The sequence below is a fragment of the Homo sapiens genome, chromosome 3, assembly GCF_000001405.40.
Source record: "Homo sapiens chromosome 3, GRCh38.p14 Primary Assembly".
In the NCBI taxonomy this organism is placed as follows: Eukaryota; Metazoa; Chordata; class Mammalia; order Primates; family Hominidae; genus Homo; species Homo sapiens.
In genome coordinates, this window is record NC_000003.12 from 98,423,762 (window position 1) to 98,440,311 (window position 16,550).

A 16,550-nucleotide genomic window follows, 5' to 3' on the forward strand; every position below is an offset into this window, starting at 1 on the left:
TATAAGGACTCACATAACTCACATAAACTTAAGGTAAAGGGGTGGAAGAAGACATTTCATATAAATGGACACTAAAAGTGAGCAGGAGTAGCTATTCTTATATCAGACAAAACGAACTTTAAAGCCACAGCAGTTAAAAAAAAAAAGACAAAGAGGGACATTATATAATGATGAAAGGCCTTGTCCAACAGGAAAATATCACAATCCTTGTCCAACGGGAAAATTTCACAATCCTAAACATATATGCACCTAATACTGGAGCTCCCAAATTTATAAAACAATTACTAATACACCTAAGAAATGAGATAGACAGCAACACAATAATATTATTGTGTTGGTAATAATAGGGCACTTCAATACTCCACTGACCACACTAGACAGGTCATCAAGACAGAAAGTCAACAAAGAAACAATAGATTTAAACTATACCCTGGAAAAAATGGACTTAATGGATACAAACAGAACATTCCATCCAACAACCACAGAATATACATTCTATTCAACAGTCAATGGAACTTTCTTCAAGATAGACCATATGATAGGCCACAAAATGAGCCTCAATAAATTTTAAAAAGTTGAAATTACATCAAGCACTCTCTCAGACCAGAGTGGAATAAAACTGGAACTCAACTCCAAAAGCAACCTTCAAAACCAGGCAAATGCATGGAAATTAAATAACCTGCTCCTGAATGATCATTGGGTCAAAAGTGAAATCAAGATGGAAACTTAAAAATTATTTGAACTGAATGACAATAGTGACACAACCTATCAACACCTCTGGGATACAGCAAAGGCAGTGCTAAGAGGAAAGTTCATAGCCCTAAACACGTACACTGAAGTGTCTGAAGGAGCACAGACAATCTAAGGCCACACTTCAAGGAACTAGAGAAACAAGAACAAACCAAACCCAAACCCAAACCCAGCAGAAGAAAGGAAATAACCAAGATAAGAGCAGAACTAAATGAAATTGCAACAACAAAAATTACAAAAGCTAAATGAAATGAAAGCTAGTTCTTTGAAAAGATAAATAAAATTGATAGACCATTAGCAAAAATAACCAAGAAAAGAAGAGAGAAAATCCAAATAAGTTCAATAAGAAATGAAACAGGAGATATTACAACTGACATCACAGAAATACAAAAGATCATTCAAACCTACTATGTACTTTTTTTTGCACACAAACTAGAAAACCTAGAAGAGATGGATAAATTCCTGGAAAGATACAGCCCTCCTAGATTAAATAAAAAGGAATTTGATACCCTGAAAACACCAATAACAAGCAGCAAATTTGAAATGGTAATTTAAAAATTACCAACAAAAAAAAGGTCCAGAGCCACACAGATTCATAACAGAATTCTACCAGATAATCAGTGAAAAATTGGTACCAATCTATTGACACTATTACACAAGATAGAGAAAGGGGGAACCCTCCCTAGATCATTTTATGAAGCCAGTATCACCCTAATACAAAAACCAGGAAAGGATATAAACAAGAATGAAAACCACAGACCAATATCCTTGATGAATACAGATGCTAAAATCCTTAACAAAATACTGGCTAACAGAATCCAACAACATATCAAAAAGATAATCCACCATAAGCAAGTGGATTTTATACCAGGGATGCAGGGATGGTTTAACATATGCAAGTCAATAAATGTGGTACACCACATTAACAGTATTAAAAACAAAAATTATATAATCATCTTGATAGATGCAGAAAAAGCATTCAAAAAATCCAGCATCTCTTTATGATTAAAACTCAGCAAACTTGGCATACAAGGGATATACCTCAATGTAATAAAAGCCATCTATGACAAAGCCACAGTCAACATAATACTGAATGGGGATAACTTGAAAGCATTCCCTCTGAGAACTGGAACAAGACCAGAATGCCCACTGTCACCACTCCTCTCCAACCTAGTACTGAAAGTCCTAGCCATGGCAATCAAAAAAGAGAAAGAAATAAAGGGCATCCAAATCAGTAAAGAGGAAGTCAAACTGTTGCTGTTTGCTGATTATATGACTGTTTGTCTAGAAAACCCTAAAGACTCCTCCTAGAACTGATAAAAAAAATTCAGCTTCTAGAACTGATAAAAGAATTCAGCAAAGTTTCTGGATACAAAATTAATGTACACAAATCAGTAGCTCTTCTGCACACCAACAGCAACCAAGCTGAGAATCAAATTATGAACTCAATTCTTCTTACAATAGCTGAAAAAAAAAAAAAAAAACTTTGGAATCTACCTAACCAAGGAGGTGAAAGACCTCTACAAGGAAAACTACAAAAACACTGTCGAAAGAAATCATAGACAACGCAAACAAATGAAAACACATCACATGCTTATGGATGGGTAGAATCAATATTGTGAAAATGACCACACTGCCAAAAGCAATCTACAAATTCAACGCAATTACCATCAAAATACCACCATCATGCTTCACAGAATTAGAAAAAAGCAATTTTAAAATTCATATGAAACCAAAAAAGAACCCACATAGCCAAAGCAAGACTAAGCAAGAAGAACAAATCTGGAGGCATCACATTACCTGATTTCAAACTATATTATAAGACCATAGTCACCAAAACAGCATGGTACTGGTATAAAAATAGGTACACAAACCAATGAAACAGAATAGAGAATCCAGAAATAAACCCAAATACTTACAGCCAACTGATCTTCGACAAAGCAAAGAAAAACATAAAGTGGGGAAAGGACACCCTATTCAACAAATGGTGCTGGGATAATTGGCTAGCCACATGTAGGAGAATGAGTCTGAATCCTCATCTCTCACCTTATACAAAAATCAACTCAAGATGGATTAAGGACTTAAATCTAAGACTGAAACTATAAAAATGCTAGATAACACTGGAAAAACACTTCTAGACGTTGGCTTTGGCAAGGATTTCATGACCAAGGACCCAACAGCAAATGCAATAAAAACCAAAGATAAATAGATGGGACCTAATTAAGCTAAAGAGCTTTTCCACAGCAAAAGGAACGGTCAAGATAGTAAACAGACAACCCATAAAGTGAGAGAAAATCTTCACAATCTATACCCTTGGCAAAGGACTAATATCCAGAATCTACAACAAACTCAAACAAATCAGCAAGAAAAAAACAAACAAAAAATCCCATCAGAAAGTGGGCTAAGGACATGAATAAACAATTCTCAAAAGAAGATATACAAATGGCCAAAAAATATGAAAAATGCTCAACATCACTAATAATCAGGGAAATGCAAATGAAAACCACAATGTGATACCACGTTACTCCTGCAAGAATGGTCATAATCAAAAAGCAAAAAATAGTAGATGTTGGTGTGGATGCAGTGAACAGGAAACACTTCTACACTGCTGGTGGGAATGTAAACTAGTACAACCACTATGGAAAATGGTGTGGTGATTCCTTAAAGAACTAAAAGTAGAACTACCATTTGAACCAGCAATCCTACTATTGGGTATCTACCAGAGGAAAAGAAGCCATTATACAAAAAAGATACTTGCACACGCATGTTTATAGCAGCACAATTCACAACTGCAAAATCATGGAACCAACCAAAATCATGGAACCAACCAAATGCCCATCAATCAAGGAATGGATAGAGAAACTGTGTGAGAGAGATATATATATATATATACATATATATATATATATATATATATATATATATATGCACACACACGCACACAAACACACACACACACACAAAGGAATACTATTTAGCCATAAAAAGGACTGAATTCATGGCATTCACAGTGACCTGGATGACTTTGGAAACTATTATTCTAAGTGAAGTAACTCAGGAATGGAAAACCAAATATTGTATGTTCTCACTCATAATTGGGAGCTAAGCTATGAGGATACAAAAGCATAAGAATGACACAATGGACTTTGGGGACTCAGGGGGAAAGAGTGGGAAGGAGGTGAGGGATAAAGGAGTAAAAAAAGGGTGCAGTGTATACTCTTGGGTGATGAGTGTACCAAAATCTCACAAATCACTGCTAAAGAATTTACTCATGTAACCAAACACCACCTGTTCCCCAATAACCTGTGGAAATGAAAAAAAAGTGCATATTTTACTATTTGCTAATGCAAATGGCATAGTAAATTTGCAAATCACATTTCATTCTTATTTGCAGTGGCTGACACAAATGTAAAAATCTCTTTATTAACAAAAAAAATGTGGTATATATACACAATGGAATACTATTCAGCCATTAAAAAAAGAATAAAATTGGTTGTCAGGGCTTCAAGATGCCTTCTTCACTAAGAAGAACCAAAATAGTGAGTAGATAATAACACTTTGAATACATTGTCCAAGAGAGAATATTAGAATTCAAGAGAAAAGTGACAGAAAACACCTAAAGAAAGGAAAAAGAGTGAAGCAAGCCAGCCTGCTCAGCTGGAATCAGCTGAGAGCCAGAAGAGACTTCCTGACACAGGGAAAATGTTGAGTGAGAGGCCTCCAGTAGTGCACATTCCTGCTGTGGACTCCTGCAAGCCCAGCCACAGGAGAATCCCTTGATCCTTGCAGACCCTGAAGCTGACACAAGGAGCTGCTGGAAAACTATGCAATGGCACTGCTTCAGAGAGGGAGCTTATATTGTGTTCTACAAACTCCCTGAGACCTAAGGTTCCATTTACACTGTTCTGGGGCCCAGAGGTGCTAGGGCTGAGGCACAAGCAAAGCATGGACTGCTCCCACTGGAACTGAACTTTAAGTGAGATGTGGGCTGAGATAGCTGGGGCTGAGGCATAAGCAAGGCATGGACATGGGATACTGCTGTATGGACTGAGGCATGAACAAGTTGTGGGCTACTGTCTCTGGCTGAGGCATGAATGTGACACCTTCTGGCCTGGACAGCCACCAATGAAGGCACCTCCTGCCACCTCCTGGGTGGCAGTACCACAGTGAGGCCACTGCTGCCTCTCACCTGAGCACTGTCAGGTGTTTGGGGATAGCCCCATTCCTTACTACCATAGCTGGCACATACATCATAGAGGTCCCACATCATAGAGGTCCCAAGGACAAGCCCACTGAGCTCAGCTTCACTCCCCCTATGCCACAGCATGCAATCTGGGGGCCTGGAGATTTCCCGGCCCAGTCTACCAATGTTGACACTGGAGCACTCTTCCTGGGGGCCCATGGTGGGCCTATCACCCTGCCACTCATGTCACACACAGGCCTAATTATTATTTCACCAACCACATCACAACCACTGACAACACAACTGCTTACCACTCTGGAACCAGCAGCTTGTCTTGCCACTGCTATTGCCATCACCCATGCCACACCAACTGTTCAGGGGCCCAAAAACTTACCCACTAACTGGCTCACCACTATCACTATCCACATCCAAGCTAGCTACCTGAGGACCCAAGTACTGGGCCATCTGGACCCACTAACACTGGTGTCCCATGTCACCCTGGGGCCCAAGGACAGGCACACTTGGCCCACTGCTGTCAACACTGGGGCTTGAAAATTAGTCCACCTGTTGTCCCAGTACCCAGCAAACCTTTATCACAGCCTCTACTAATAACCACAACCTAAACCACCAAGGAAATCACATATATCACTGATACTGTTTACAGCCAAAAAACAAACCAACAAACAAATTATACAAAGACAACACTACTGCAAGCAAGCATACAGAAGCAAAGCCATAGATAAATCTTCAAGAAAAAGTTCTCCACAATGAAAGCAAATTTAAAAATTGGAAGAAGTGAATGTTACATTAGATGCCCAGATATTAATATAAGGACCCAGGAAACATTAACAAGCAAGAAAATATGAAACCTCCAAAGGGAAAAATGATAATTCTCCAGCCAAAAATTTCAACCAAAAGCAAATTTAAGAAATCCCAGAAAAAGAATTCAAATATTGATTTTTCAGAAGCCCATGAAATACAAGATAATTCTGAAAAACAACACAAAGAAATAAAAAAGCCAATTTAAGATATAAATGAGAAATTTACCAAAGAGATAAATATCATAGCAGAAAACCAAACAGAAATTCTGGAACTGAAGAATTCATTGAATGAAATACAAAACACATTTGAAAGTCTCAACAATAGACTATATCAAGTAGAAAAGAAAATCTTAAAATTTGAAGACAGTCTTTTGAAATAACATAGACAAAAATAAAGAAAAATGGAAGAAGAATGAGCCAATCCTACATGACACATGGGACACCCCATAAAGGCACCAAATATTTGAATTTTTGAAGTCCCAGAAGGCAAAGAGAAAATGAGAAGTTTAGAAAACCTATTTCACCAGATAATAGATGAAAACTTCCCAAGTCTAACAAGATACAGGAGCCTCAAAGATCCCCAGATACAATACAAAAAGGTCTTCTCCATGGCACAGTATAGTTAAAGTCAAAGACAGAGAATACTAAAGACAGCAAGAGATAAGCATCTAGTCTAGTCATCTATAAAGAAACTCCCTTTAGACTAACAGTGAACCTCTCAGCAGAAACATTATAGGCTAAGAGAAAATGAAATAATATATTCAAAGTGCTGAAAGAAAAAAACTGCCAGCCAAGATTATTATACCTAGCAAAATTATCCCTCATAAATGAAGAAGAAATAAAGTGTTTTCCAGATAAGAAATTGCTGAGGGAATTTTTCACTACTATACCCATTCTAAAAGAAATGTTAAAGGGAGTTGTACACCTGGAAGCAAAAGAATAGTACCTACTATCATGAAAACACAAGGAAACATAAAAACCACTGGTAGAGCAAACACATGAACAAGAAAGAGAAAAGAATAAAATGTCACCACTACAGAGGACTATTAAACTATGATAAGAAACAATAAAAGAAAAATAAGGAAATAATACACAAAACCACCAAAAATTACATGATAAGAATAAACTCTCACATGTCAGTAACTTTGAATGTAAATGGATTAAACCTTCAACGTAAAAATATTAATTCACTAAATGGATTTTTAAAAAATGATCTAACCATATACTGCAAATGAGAAACTTCCCTTACCAGGGAAGACGCACATAGATTGAAGGTAAAGGGACAAAAGAAGATAGGTTATCAAATCCATATGCACTATGCACAAGAGCAAAGATATGGAATAAACCTAAGTGTCCATAAATGGATGAATAGATAAAGAAAATATGGTGTATATGTACATAATGGAGTACTATTCAGCCTTACAAAACAAGAAAATCATGTCATTGCAGCAACATGAATGGAACTGGAGGTCAATAAGTTACGTGAAATAAACTAGGCACAGAAAGAACAATACCACATGTTTTCACTCATATGTGGGAACTAAAAAATTGATCTTATGAAGATAGAGAATAGAGTGATAGACACTGGAGGCTGGAGAAGTGTTTGGGTGGCAAGGGGCAATGAAGAGAGATTGATTAATGGGTATAAACACATCGTTAAATAAAAAAATATGTTTTACTGTTTGACAGCAACTAGGATGATTATAGTTATCAATGATGCCTTTTATATTTCAACATAGCTAGAATAGAGAACTTGAAATGTTATCGACCCATCTAAATAATAAATAGTTAAGATGATTGATATTACAAATACACTTACTTGATCATTATGTATTCTGTGTATGTAAAAAAAAACTCACATGAATCCCATAAATATGCATAATATATGTATTAATAAATGAAAAACTAAAAATTTTTAAAGAATGAAATTATATCACTGACAACAAAATGAATGTAATTGGAGGTCATTGTGGTAAGTGACATAAGCCAGGCAGAGAAAGACAAATATCACATTTTCATTCACATGTGGGAGCTAAAAATGTTGTTCTCATGAAGGTGGAGAGTAGAATGATGGTACTGGAGATAGGAAGTCTTTGGGAGAATCAAAAGAGGTTGGTTACTCTTATAAAGAAACAGTTAAATAGAAAGAATAAGTACTAGTGTTCAATAGCACAATAAGGTGACTATAGTTAACAATAATTTATTGAATATTTCAAAATAGCTAGAAGAAAAGATTTGAAATTTTTCTAACACAAGTCATAAATGTTTGAGGTGATTTATATACTAATTATCTTTATTTTATCATTATACATTGCATTCATGTATCAAAATATCACATGTACCCCATAAAATATGTATGATTATTATGTATCAATGATTTTTTTAAAGAAATAAAGAGATGGGGGCATCCAGGTGGGTCTTGTTCCATGGTCTTGGGCAGAAACTGATTACCTTGTAAAGATATCTACTTGTTCTGAGGTTGTTAAAGTATCTGTCTTTCTGTAGCCTTTGTCTGCTTTGGAAAACTCCCAGCAGAGCCTCAGTGGAGGTTTCCAGTTCGAATATTTTTCCAGTTTGAATTGCTCTTGTATTTCTTTAGTTTTTAAGCATAAATCTAAGGTTAAACACCCTGTAATTTGGTACCTGCGTTAGCCCAAATAAAACAGCATAACGTCCTTTTCTTCTGAACTCAAGAATAGTTTTCCTAAAGTGGCATTTCCAGAATACCAGATTGCTTGCTTGTAAATTGAGTAATTGTTGATGAGGAAGCTCTAAAATGAAGACAGTTCTGACTTGTTGATTATAGAATTTAGCATATTTTATTAACCCTTGACAGCATCTAAAAATGTCAGATAGAGTTAGGTTAAAGTCCTCCACTAGCCAAGATAAATAATCCTCATGGGATTTCCCATGATAATTCCAAAAGTGACGATCTTATGATTCATGTTTATGGTAAGTCCAATTCCTTAGCTAGTTTAGTCTGTTTGGTCTTGAGAATCCCATTGGATCTTTCTGTGTCTCCTGATGACTGAGCATGGTAGGGGCAGTGGAGTCTTTGAGTACTGTGTGTTGTGTTTTCTATTTCCTATATAATTCTACCAATAAAATGTTAGCTTAGAGTTGGTAGAATTGGTAGAGAGTATACCTAAAGTTGGGAAGACTTATTACAGAAAAACTTTGGCAACTGATGTTCCTGGGGCATTTTAGCAAGAAAAATGTTTAGCTATTTAAAACACATGCAGGCTAGAGTGAGTACATATTGCTTTCTGTCTCAGTCCATTTGCATTGATATGCAGGAATATCTGTGGCTGAGTGATTTATAAAGAAAATAGGTTTTGGAGGTTTTTTTCTGGAGATGGTAGACTAGAAGTTTTTCCAACATGCCTCACTCATTTAGAAGAAGCAAAACCCTTTGTAGAGATCTGCACTTTGAACTTTTATCCAGGAAGAAACACAGAAGAGCAAAATAAAACTTCTGAGACTGGTATAGAGAAGATGAGCAGATAGCTTGTGCAGCCAGGTCTGGCTGAAAATGGTGAATGCCCATTATGGGGGAGGGAGGATGAATGTCTCTCTGTGATCCAACTTCCAACCAGGGAATCATGCAATTCAGTTCACAAGAGAGCATCTTGATCCTCCCAAGCCTTGGATCTAACGTAGAAAGCAGCCAACAGACTGAGAAAGAACAACTCCAGGGAAGTGTCTCACTCACTTTTCCAGGTCTGAGGGCTGATTGTTGGATGCCCTTCTTGATCCCAGCTCATAGCAAGTTGTGCAGGATTCTTCAGGCTAACAATGGTGGTAGCCATTGGCATGAGAGAGACTTGGGTCAAAGATTAGAGAGCTAGGACTTGAGGTGGGAGGGGCTCCCACAGCTAGAACTGAGAAATGAGTGTAGTATGGACATCAGCTGCTTGTGTGAGAACCAGTATCCCCTTTTCACAGAATTGAAGCAGGAGGAACTTGCTGGGGAGGCATGGTCTTAACCCAGGCAGTGAGTTCTGTGGCCCAGAGCAGCTTTGCAGAGTGAAAGCAAACTCCCATGACTAAATGTCCCAACTTGCTGCCATGGTTGTAGCAGGGGATTAAACCTTGAAGGGTCTGCGGCAAGAGAGGCAAGTAGGTCCAATTCCTACTTGTTAGGATGTGGTGCCAGGATCTCCATCCCCCATGTGACACATCAGTGCAGTAGCAGTCACTCTGCTCTTTGCCTAGACATTTCTTCAGGAAGCCTGAGGACTGTCTCCCAATCACTATCAGGGCCAGTACTTGTAACTGCCAATGGGGGACTCAAGTGCAGGCTTCCAGTATTAGTCCATTCTTGCATTGCTATAAAGAACTACCTGAGACTTGGTAATTTATGAAGAAGAGATTTAATTGCTGACAGTTCTGCAGGCTGTACAGGTAGCATGGCTGGGGAGGCCTCAAGAAACTTTCAATCATGTCAGAAGGCAAAAGGGGAAGTGGCCAAGGACTCCTGAGCCACTTGAAGCAGCCTGCTACTGGCCTCAGCCCAGTCCCCTGGCCCAGGCCTTGGTCAGCAAAAGCGAGGATATGGGAAGCAGCACAGACAGGGAGTTGGTGGACCACCTGAAGGTCCTCTGGAACAAAACCAAACACAACATGAAGTTCCCTTCGGACAGCACAAGCTCCAAGCTAAAAGAGAAAATTCACTTGATTACAGGTCTTCCACCTGCCATGCAGAAAGTCATGTGTAAGGGACTGGTCCCCAAGTACAAGATATTGAGAATAGAACATTGAGTATAAGACCCATTGAGAGAAATAAAAGTGACCCGTAGGGCCAAGATCATGGTGGTTGGCTCCACAATGCAGTGTTTAAGCAGTAAACCCACCCAAAGATACTACACAGCAGGATGCAAATGCCAAAAAGAACGAGAAGGAGCCTCTCTGCAGGCAGAAACAACACAGATAAGTGTTAAATAAAGGAGAACCTGAAGATATGATCTGTTAGGTGTGCCCAGGAACCCTTCCAACACTACCCCTGTCTGGCAAGTACAATTAGTCTGGGGGAAAAGTGAGACTTCACTTAAGCTAGAACAAGGCCAGATCAGCACTAAAGATTCCTGGACAGAAGCAAACACGCCTAATTCACCGGTTTCTGGCCAGCACTGTAGGTATTCAGAGTTCAAGGGCAGATTGAGAAAGTGCCCACGGGCTTCATTAAAAATGTGGTCAGCGAAACTAGGGTCATGAATACTACAACATGGTGATATTTCAGTAGGGTCCCACAGGAGGCTCTTACTGCTGGATTCCAACTCAACATGTTGATGCAATCAAAAACACTGTGCTGGGAAAATGACAGTGTTTTTGAAAACACTTTCACTGCTGGCTCAGGAGACTGACCAAAGTGAAGGATATTGCCAGAAAACATCTGCAGCGTCCCTGGATATCAGAGCTCTGGAACTTTGTTCAAAAAAAAATATCCATATTCAATCTAAGATGATGTGATGACTGCAGCCAGTGGTGATGTACTTACACCATCAGCTTAATTTTATCTTGAAATCACCAGTTCCCTTTCTTGCTGACTGCCAATCTGACTGCTTAATACCATTTTAAAAGTCAACATAACAGAAATCAATAAATCTGAATTCTGAGAAAAAGTTTAAATATAAATTAAGTTTGACGAAGCGTGATATTCAAGAGATATATTGATCAGTGACGGCTTATAGGGCCTGGCAAGTCCCATCGTGCCTTCTGAGGTAGGAGCCATCAACACAAACTTGAACAAGGGGGCTTTCTGATAAACTTAGCCTAGAATAAGGTAATGATCTAGGGTTAGTGACATAATTGTGAGGTTTCTCATCAGTTGGTAAAGGAAGCAAGTGGCAAGGTTAAGGTTTTAAAAGTGATGTACAGTGATGTGGGAGGGGGAGAATTTTAAAGTTTCATAAGAGATCAGTAGAGATGCAGAAAAGTGTTGTGCTTTATTAATAATAGGATCTTGGACAAATTTGGTGGTTGTGGCCATGGCTTGCAGGCAACAAGGATATACCTTAGCTAATGGGTCTAAGGCTAGACTATAATACCCTAGATATCTCTGGTGTCCATTATGCTTTTGAGGTAACGCTCAAAGGACATGTTCTTCCCATTCATGCAAAAACAAGTAAAAGGGCAGGGAGTAATTGGGAAGTCTAAGAGTGAGAGGTGAAAGTAGAGTCCTTAAAGTTTTCCAAAGAATCTGATTACAGGGTCCCAGGCTACTGGGTTTGGGGATAAATCCCTCATCACTAGTCATAAAGAGTGAGGCAGTCATACAGAAATTAGGTATTTACTTTACAATATGCCACAAGACCCCCCAACATTTTCTATCGTCATTTTGTTTCAGGGAGATAAAAGTGATTAGCAGGAGAGACTCAGCCTGATGATTTTACTTGAAGATGAAATATCATGACCTGGATATTTAACACACAGGCACGGTGACTCATGCCTGTAATCCCAGCATTTTGGGACGCTGGGACGGGCAGATTGTTTGATGTCAGGAGTTTGAGACCAGCCTGACAAACATGGCAAAACCCTGTCGCTACTAAAAATACAAAAAATTAGGCGGGCATGGTGGTGCGTACCTGTAGTTCCACCTTCTAGGGAGGCTGAGGCAGGAGAATCACTTGAACCAGGGAGGCAGAGGTTGCAATGAGCCGAGATCATGCCACTGCACTCCAGCCTGGGTGACAAAATAAGACTTTGTCTCAAAAAAGAAACAAACTATATGTATATACACATATATATTTATATACATATATATTTATATATATATGTGTATATATATATTACAAAATATAAAACAAAAACAGTGAGCATAATTGAATTTTTTCTCTAGCCACTTTTTGACCTTTGTTTTGCTAAAGCCTAAAGATGGTATTTCTCCTTGTGGTTTAGTGGTAGCCGAAGGCACTGGACATTTACTTCCCTGGAAGAGAGGGAACAATCTTTGATGTGGAGGGTACTCAGTTGTTGTTGTTTTTTTCTTGAGGTCTGCAGGATCCCAGGCACAGATATTGTTTTCCATATAATATCAGCAAGTGTCTAAATCAATAGGAGCCAGTGATTTTGGAGCTTCCTGTGAGTTTAAATTCTCAGGTTGTTTTAACTGTTTCATTTGCGATGCCATAAGCTTGTGGCGTGTGGTTTCCAATCTTTCTGAAATACTATTTACCTAATGCTAGACTAATGTGTGGAACTCAGTTATGTTTTAATTTTGCCGGTTAATATAATTTTTCTTTAATGCATCATGGATCTCCAGTCTGAGACCATTTACAAAGCTGGTGGGCAGAGCAGTAACTGTCAAGTAAGTCAGTTCCAGCTTTAAGTGTTCTTCCCATGTTATCTATAGTTGATGACGATAGCAAGTTTCATCCTTTAGTTGCTTACAATTTTGGATATGTAAGCAATCAATTTTGGTGGGATAGACTTGAGAGATGGCTCCTAGTAATTTTTCTCTTATTTGCCTCATTCTCTGATGAAAATCAGTGATAGTCCAATATCCTTGAAGGTCTTCAGAGATGGTGGTCCATTTGGCTTTTTCAAACCAAAGGGAGGCATCTCCAGGTCCAACCAGTAGGTAGATAAGTTGTGATAAGTGAAGGAATCTTAGAGAGTGTCCCCTGAGAAATATTCTAAATTGTTTAATAAATCTTTCCCTTTCCTTCTGGGGTCAGAAAGTCCTTAGCGATGGCATATAATTTGAATCAAGACCTATGTTTAAATGTAATTTCTTCTGTTAACCTTGCTTGAGAATGTGTACCAGCCTCACCCTTATTATCAGCAAGAGATGGAAGCCCAGTGAACCTTATGATTACAGAGAATTCAGGGGCTGGCGATGCAGCTGGTGAGGGACATTCTGGGAGAAATTGATACAAAAGAAAGCTGAAGGGGGAGGGTGGAAGAGTTGTGGAGGCTCTAGGAAGTTTATCAGCTTGGAAATTTTTTTCTGGAGACGTTGTCTAATAACTTCAGTAGTTTGAGTAAGATTTGAATGATTTAGCCATTTTTTGCCTTCTTCATACCAGGCAAAATAAGTAGGCCAATGTGCATCTGAAATTTGTGTTTTGTTTTGCTCTAGGACTCCCTTTCAGGTGGACTAATTTGAAGAGATCTCAGGAGCACCAAAAGAGCCACTGTTGCTCAGGAAAGTTTTCAGTAAAGTTTTGTCCACGGGAAAGAAAGCAAACAGTATTTAGACCATAGTGGCTGACTATATAGTCAGCAGAGGTTTTAAACGAGGGGTTTTCAGCTGACCGAGTAGTTCTCATGGGAGAAGCAGGATCCAATAGAGAAAAGAGAAAGACTAGAGAGGCCTCACAGAGAGCCAGGAAGAAAGACATTCAGCCTAGGAAAGCAGGGAATAATAATTCCCACTCTGAACAAGGAGGCAGGAAGCCCTTCCAGACTAGGAGGCACCTTTCAAAAGAAGCCCGAGACTCTAACCCAGCTTCAGAGAGTATACTCAAAATCTTAATAATTGAAATTTGTCCTCACCATGCATCAGTGGACATTTATCTGGAGCAATGGATTTTGGAGTTGGGCTCACCATCGAGTACCTGAATGAGTAAGCAGACAGTCTGGAGACAAGGGTCCTGCTGTGTGCTGAGAGGTCCTGTTGCTACATCTGAGAATCCAGTGGTAGTTCTGATCCAGATCTGCATCTCAGCACCAAAAACTGTCAAAGAAAAGCAGCCAGGCAAGTAAAGTGGTGAAGACAAATTTTATTCGGGACTATTACAGTAGGGAGAGAGAGACCCTAGTATAGAACTGGGCTCCAATATGGCAAGGACAAGTGGGGATTTGTAGCCAAGGAACAGGGGGTTTCATGGATGGAAAATTACTAAGAAGACATATCAAGTATATGGATAATTCTGGCTGAATAAACCAACCTACCAGGATTCCTGCTGAGGGCAGGCCAAGGTGATCAGATATCAGGGGTAAGGAGTGAAACAATTTGATCAGATATCAAAGGTGATCAGGTATTGAGAGTGGGGGATTCTTGTGAACTGTCTTAGCAGCATTATTTTCTATAACTGGATTTTACAAAAAAGTGCACAGATGGGCCTAGAAGAAGGCTTAGAAGTGGCCTAAAGTTTGGCCAACCAAAGAGTCTTTGTCACTGGACTTTCCGTATATATTACCTACCAATTAGCTAGGCATTATTTTTTATGCTTTTCCTCAATAAAAGTCTCATACTTTGAAACATTTAGTGACTTATCAGAGGCATCTATTTTACTATTTAGCATATCTATTAAGCTTTTTACTCAACTACATTTTAATTTCTAAAAAAACACTTTTAAAAATTAAGGTACAGAAAGATTTTACAATTTGTCCGCAGAAATACAAAGGTGGAGCTCAGGAATCAAACCCAGGCTGCTTGCCTCCAGAATTTTGATGCTTAACCACTAAGTCACAGTATACATAACATTAAAAAGTGTAGCATGAGAAGAAAACTTTTCCAGAAGTTAACCTGTGAAATGGGCAGGCAGATAGCACAGAAATTCAAGAGAGAGATGGATCAATAACATTTTCCCTTGAATTTATTTAGAAAAAATTAAAACCTACTGAAAAGCCCAGAGAATTATACAATTAATACCCATTTTTGGTTTTTCAACCAACTAAACATTTAAACAATTGTTAAATAGTTGTTAACAGCTGGACACTTTTAACAACTCACCACATTTGCCTATCTACAAATATGTATGTACATACATATAATACATGTATACATATATATGTACACGTAATACATATATAGTTAATATCAGGACACTTTATCAATAAATAATGTATATCTCAAAAGAACAAAGACATTTTCTACATAGTCATCATATCAGTATTATCCCAAAGAAATGTAACATCACTAATATGTATTTTACATTTGAATTTTCCCCAATAATCCCAAAATTGTTCCCTATAGCAGTTTATCTTTTAATTAAACATTCAATTACTGGTCACTATTTGCTTTTAGTTATTATAATATTTTAGTCCCCTTCGATCTAGAGAATTATCTTACCTATTTTTTCCCTTCAATGGCATTTAAGTTTTCAAGTATTTTGGTCAGATATATTATAAAATATCCTGCAATGTATATTTTTCTGATGTTTCCTCATAATTTGATTCATTCAAGTTAAATAATTATGGCTATATAGGCATGCTGTATTTTCCCTTTTGCATCACAGGAGATTCATAACATCAGTTTTTCTTCTTACTGGATGCTAAGTTTGATAACTTTGGTCAAGGCAGTGTCCATCAGATCTTTTCATGAAAAGATAACTTATTTCCTTACTAATTAAAATCTAATTTGTAGGGTTTGATGCATTGATATTGTGTGAATTTACTGTTCTCAATAATTTTTTATAAATGATGTTAGCACCCATTGAAAATTCTTGCATGAATCAAAATATTACCTTTGAGGATATAAAAATTGAGAAATGTTTCCAGTTGCTATCTGGATTCATTCTAAAAAGTAGAACTTTATCTCCAAGCCTTTTTCAATAAATAAACAGCCTCAGATTTATAGAAAATTACAAAGATAATACAGAGTTCCCATATATCACACAGCTGTTACCCATTTTATTAGCATCTTAATTAGTATGGTATATGTTTTATAGTTCATGAACCAACATTGATCCATTGTTATGAACTAAAGTCCATGTTTTATTGCTCAGATTTCCATAGTTTACACCTAATGTTGTTCTTCTGTTCCAGGATCCTATCTAAGATCCACATTATATTTATTCATGTGTCTTTTTAGCCTCTCTTGGCTGTGACAGTTTCTCTGCCACTCCTCA

At 37.9% G+C, this 16,550-nt stretch overlaps 1 pseudogene; it reads left to right on the top strand.

Moving 5' to 3' along the window:
- UBFD1P1 (ubiquitin family domain containing 1 pseudogene 1) lies at positions 10,212–11,283 on the top strand (annotated as a pseudogene).
- Positions 11,284–16,550: the final 5,267 nt, after the last annotated feature.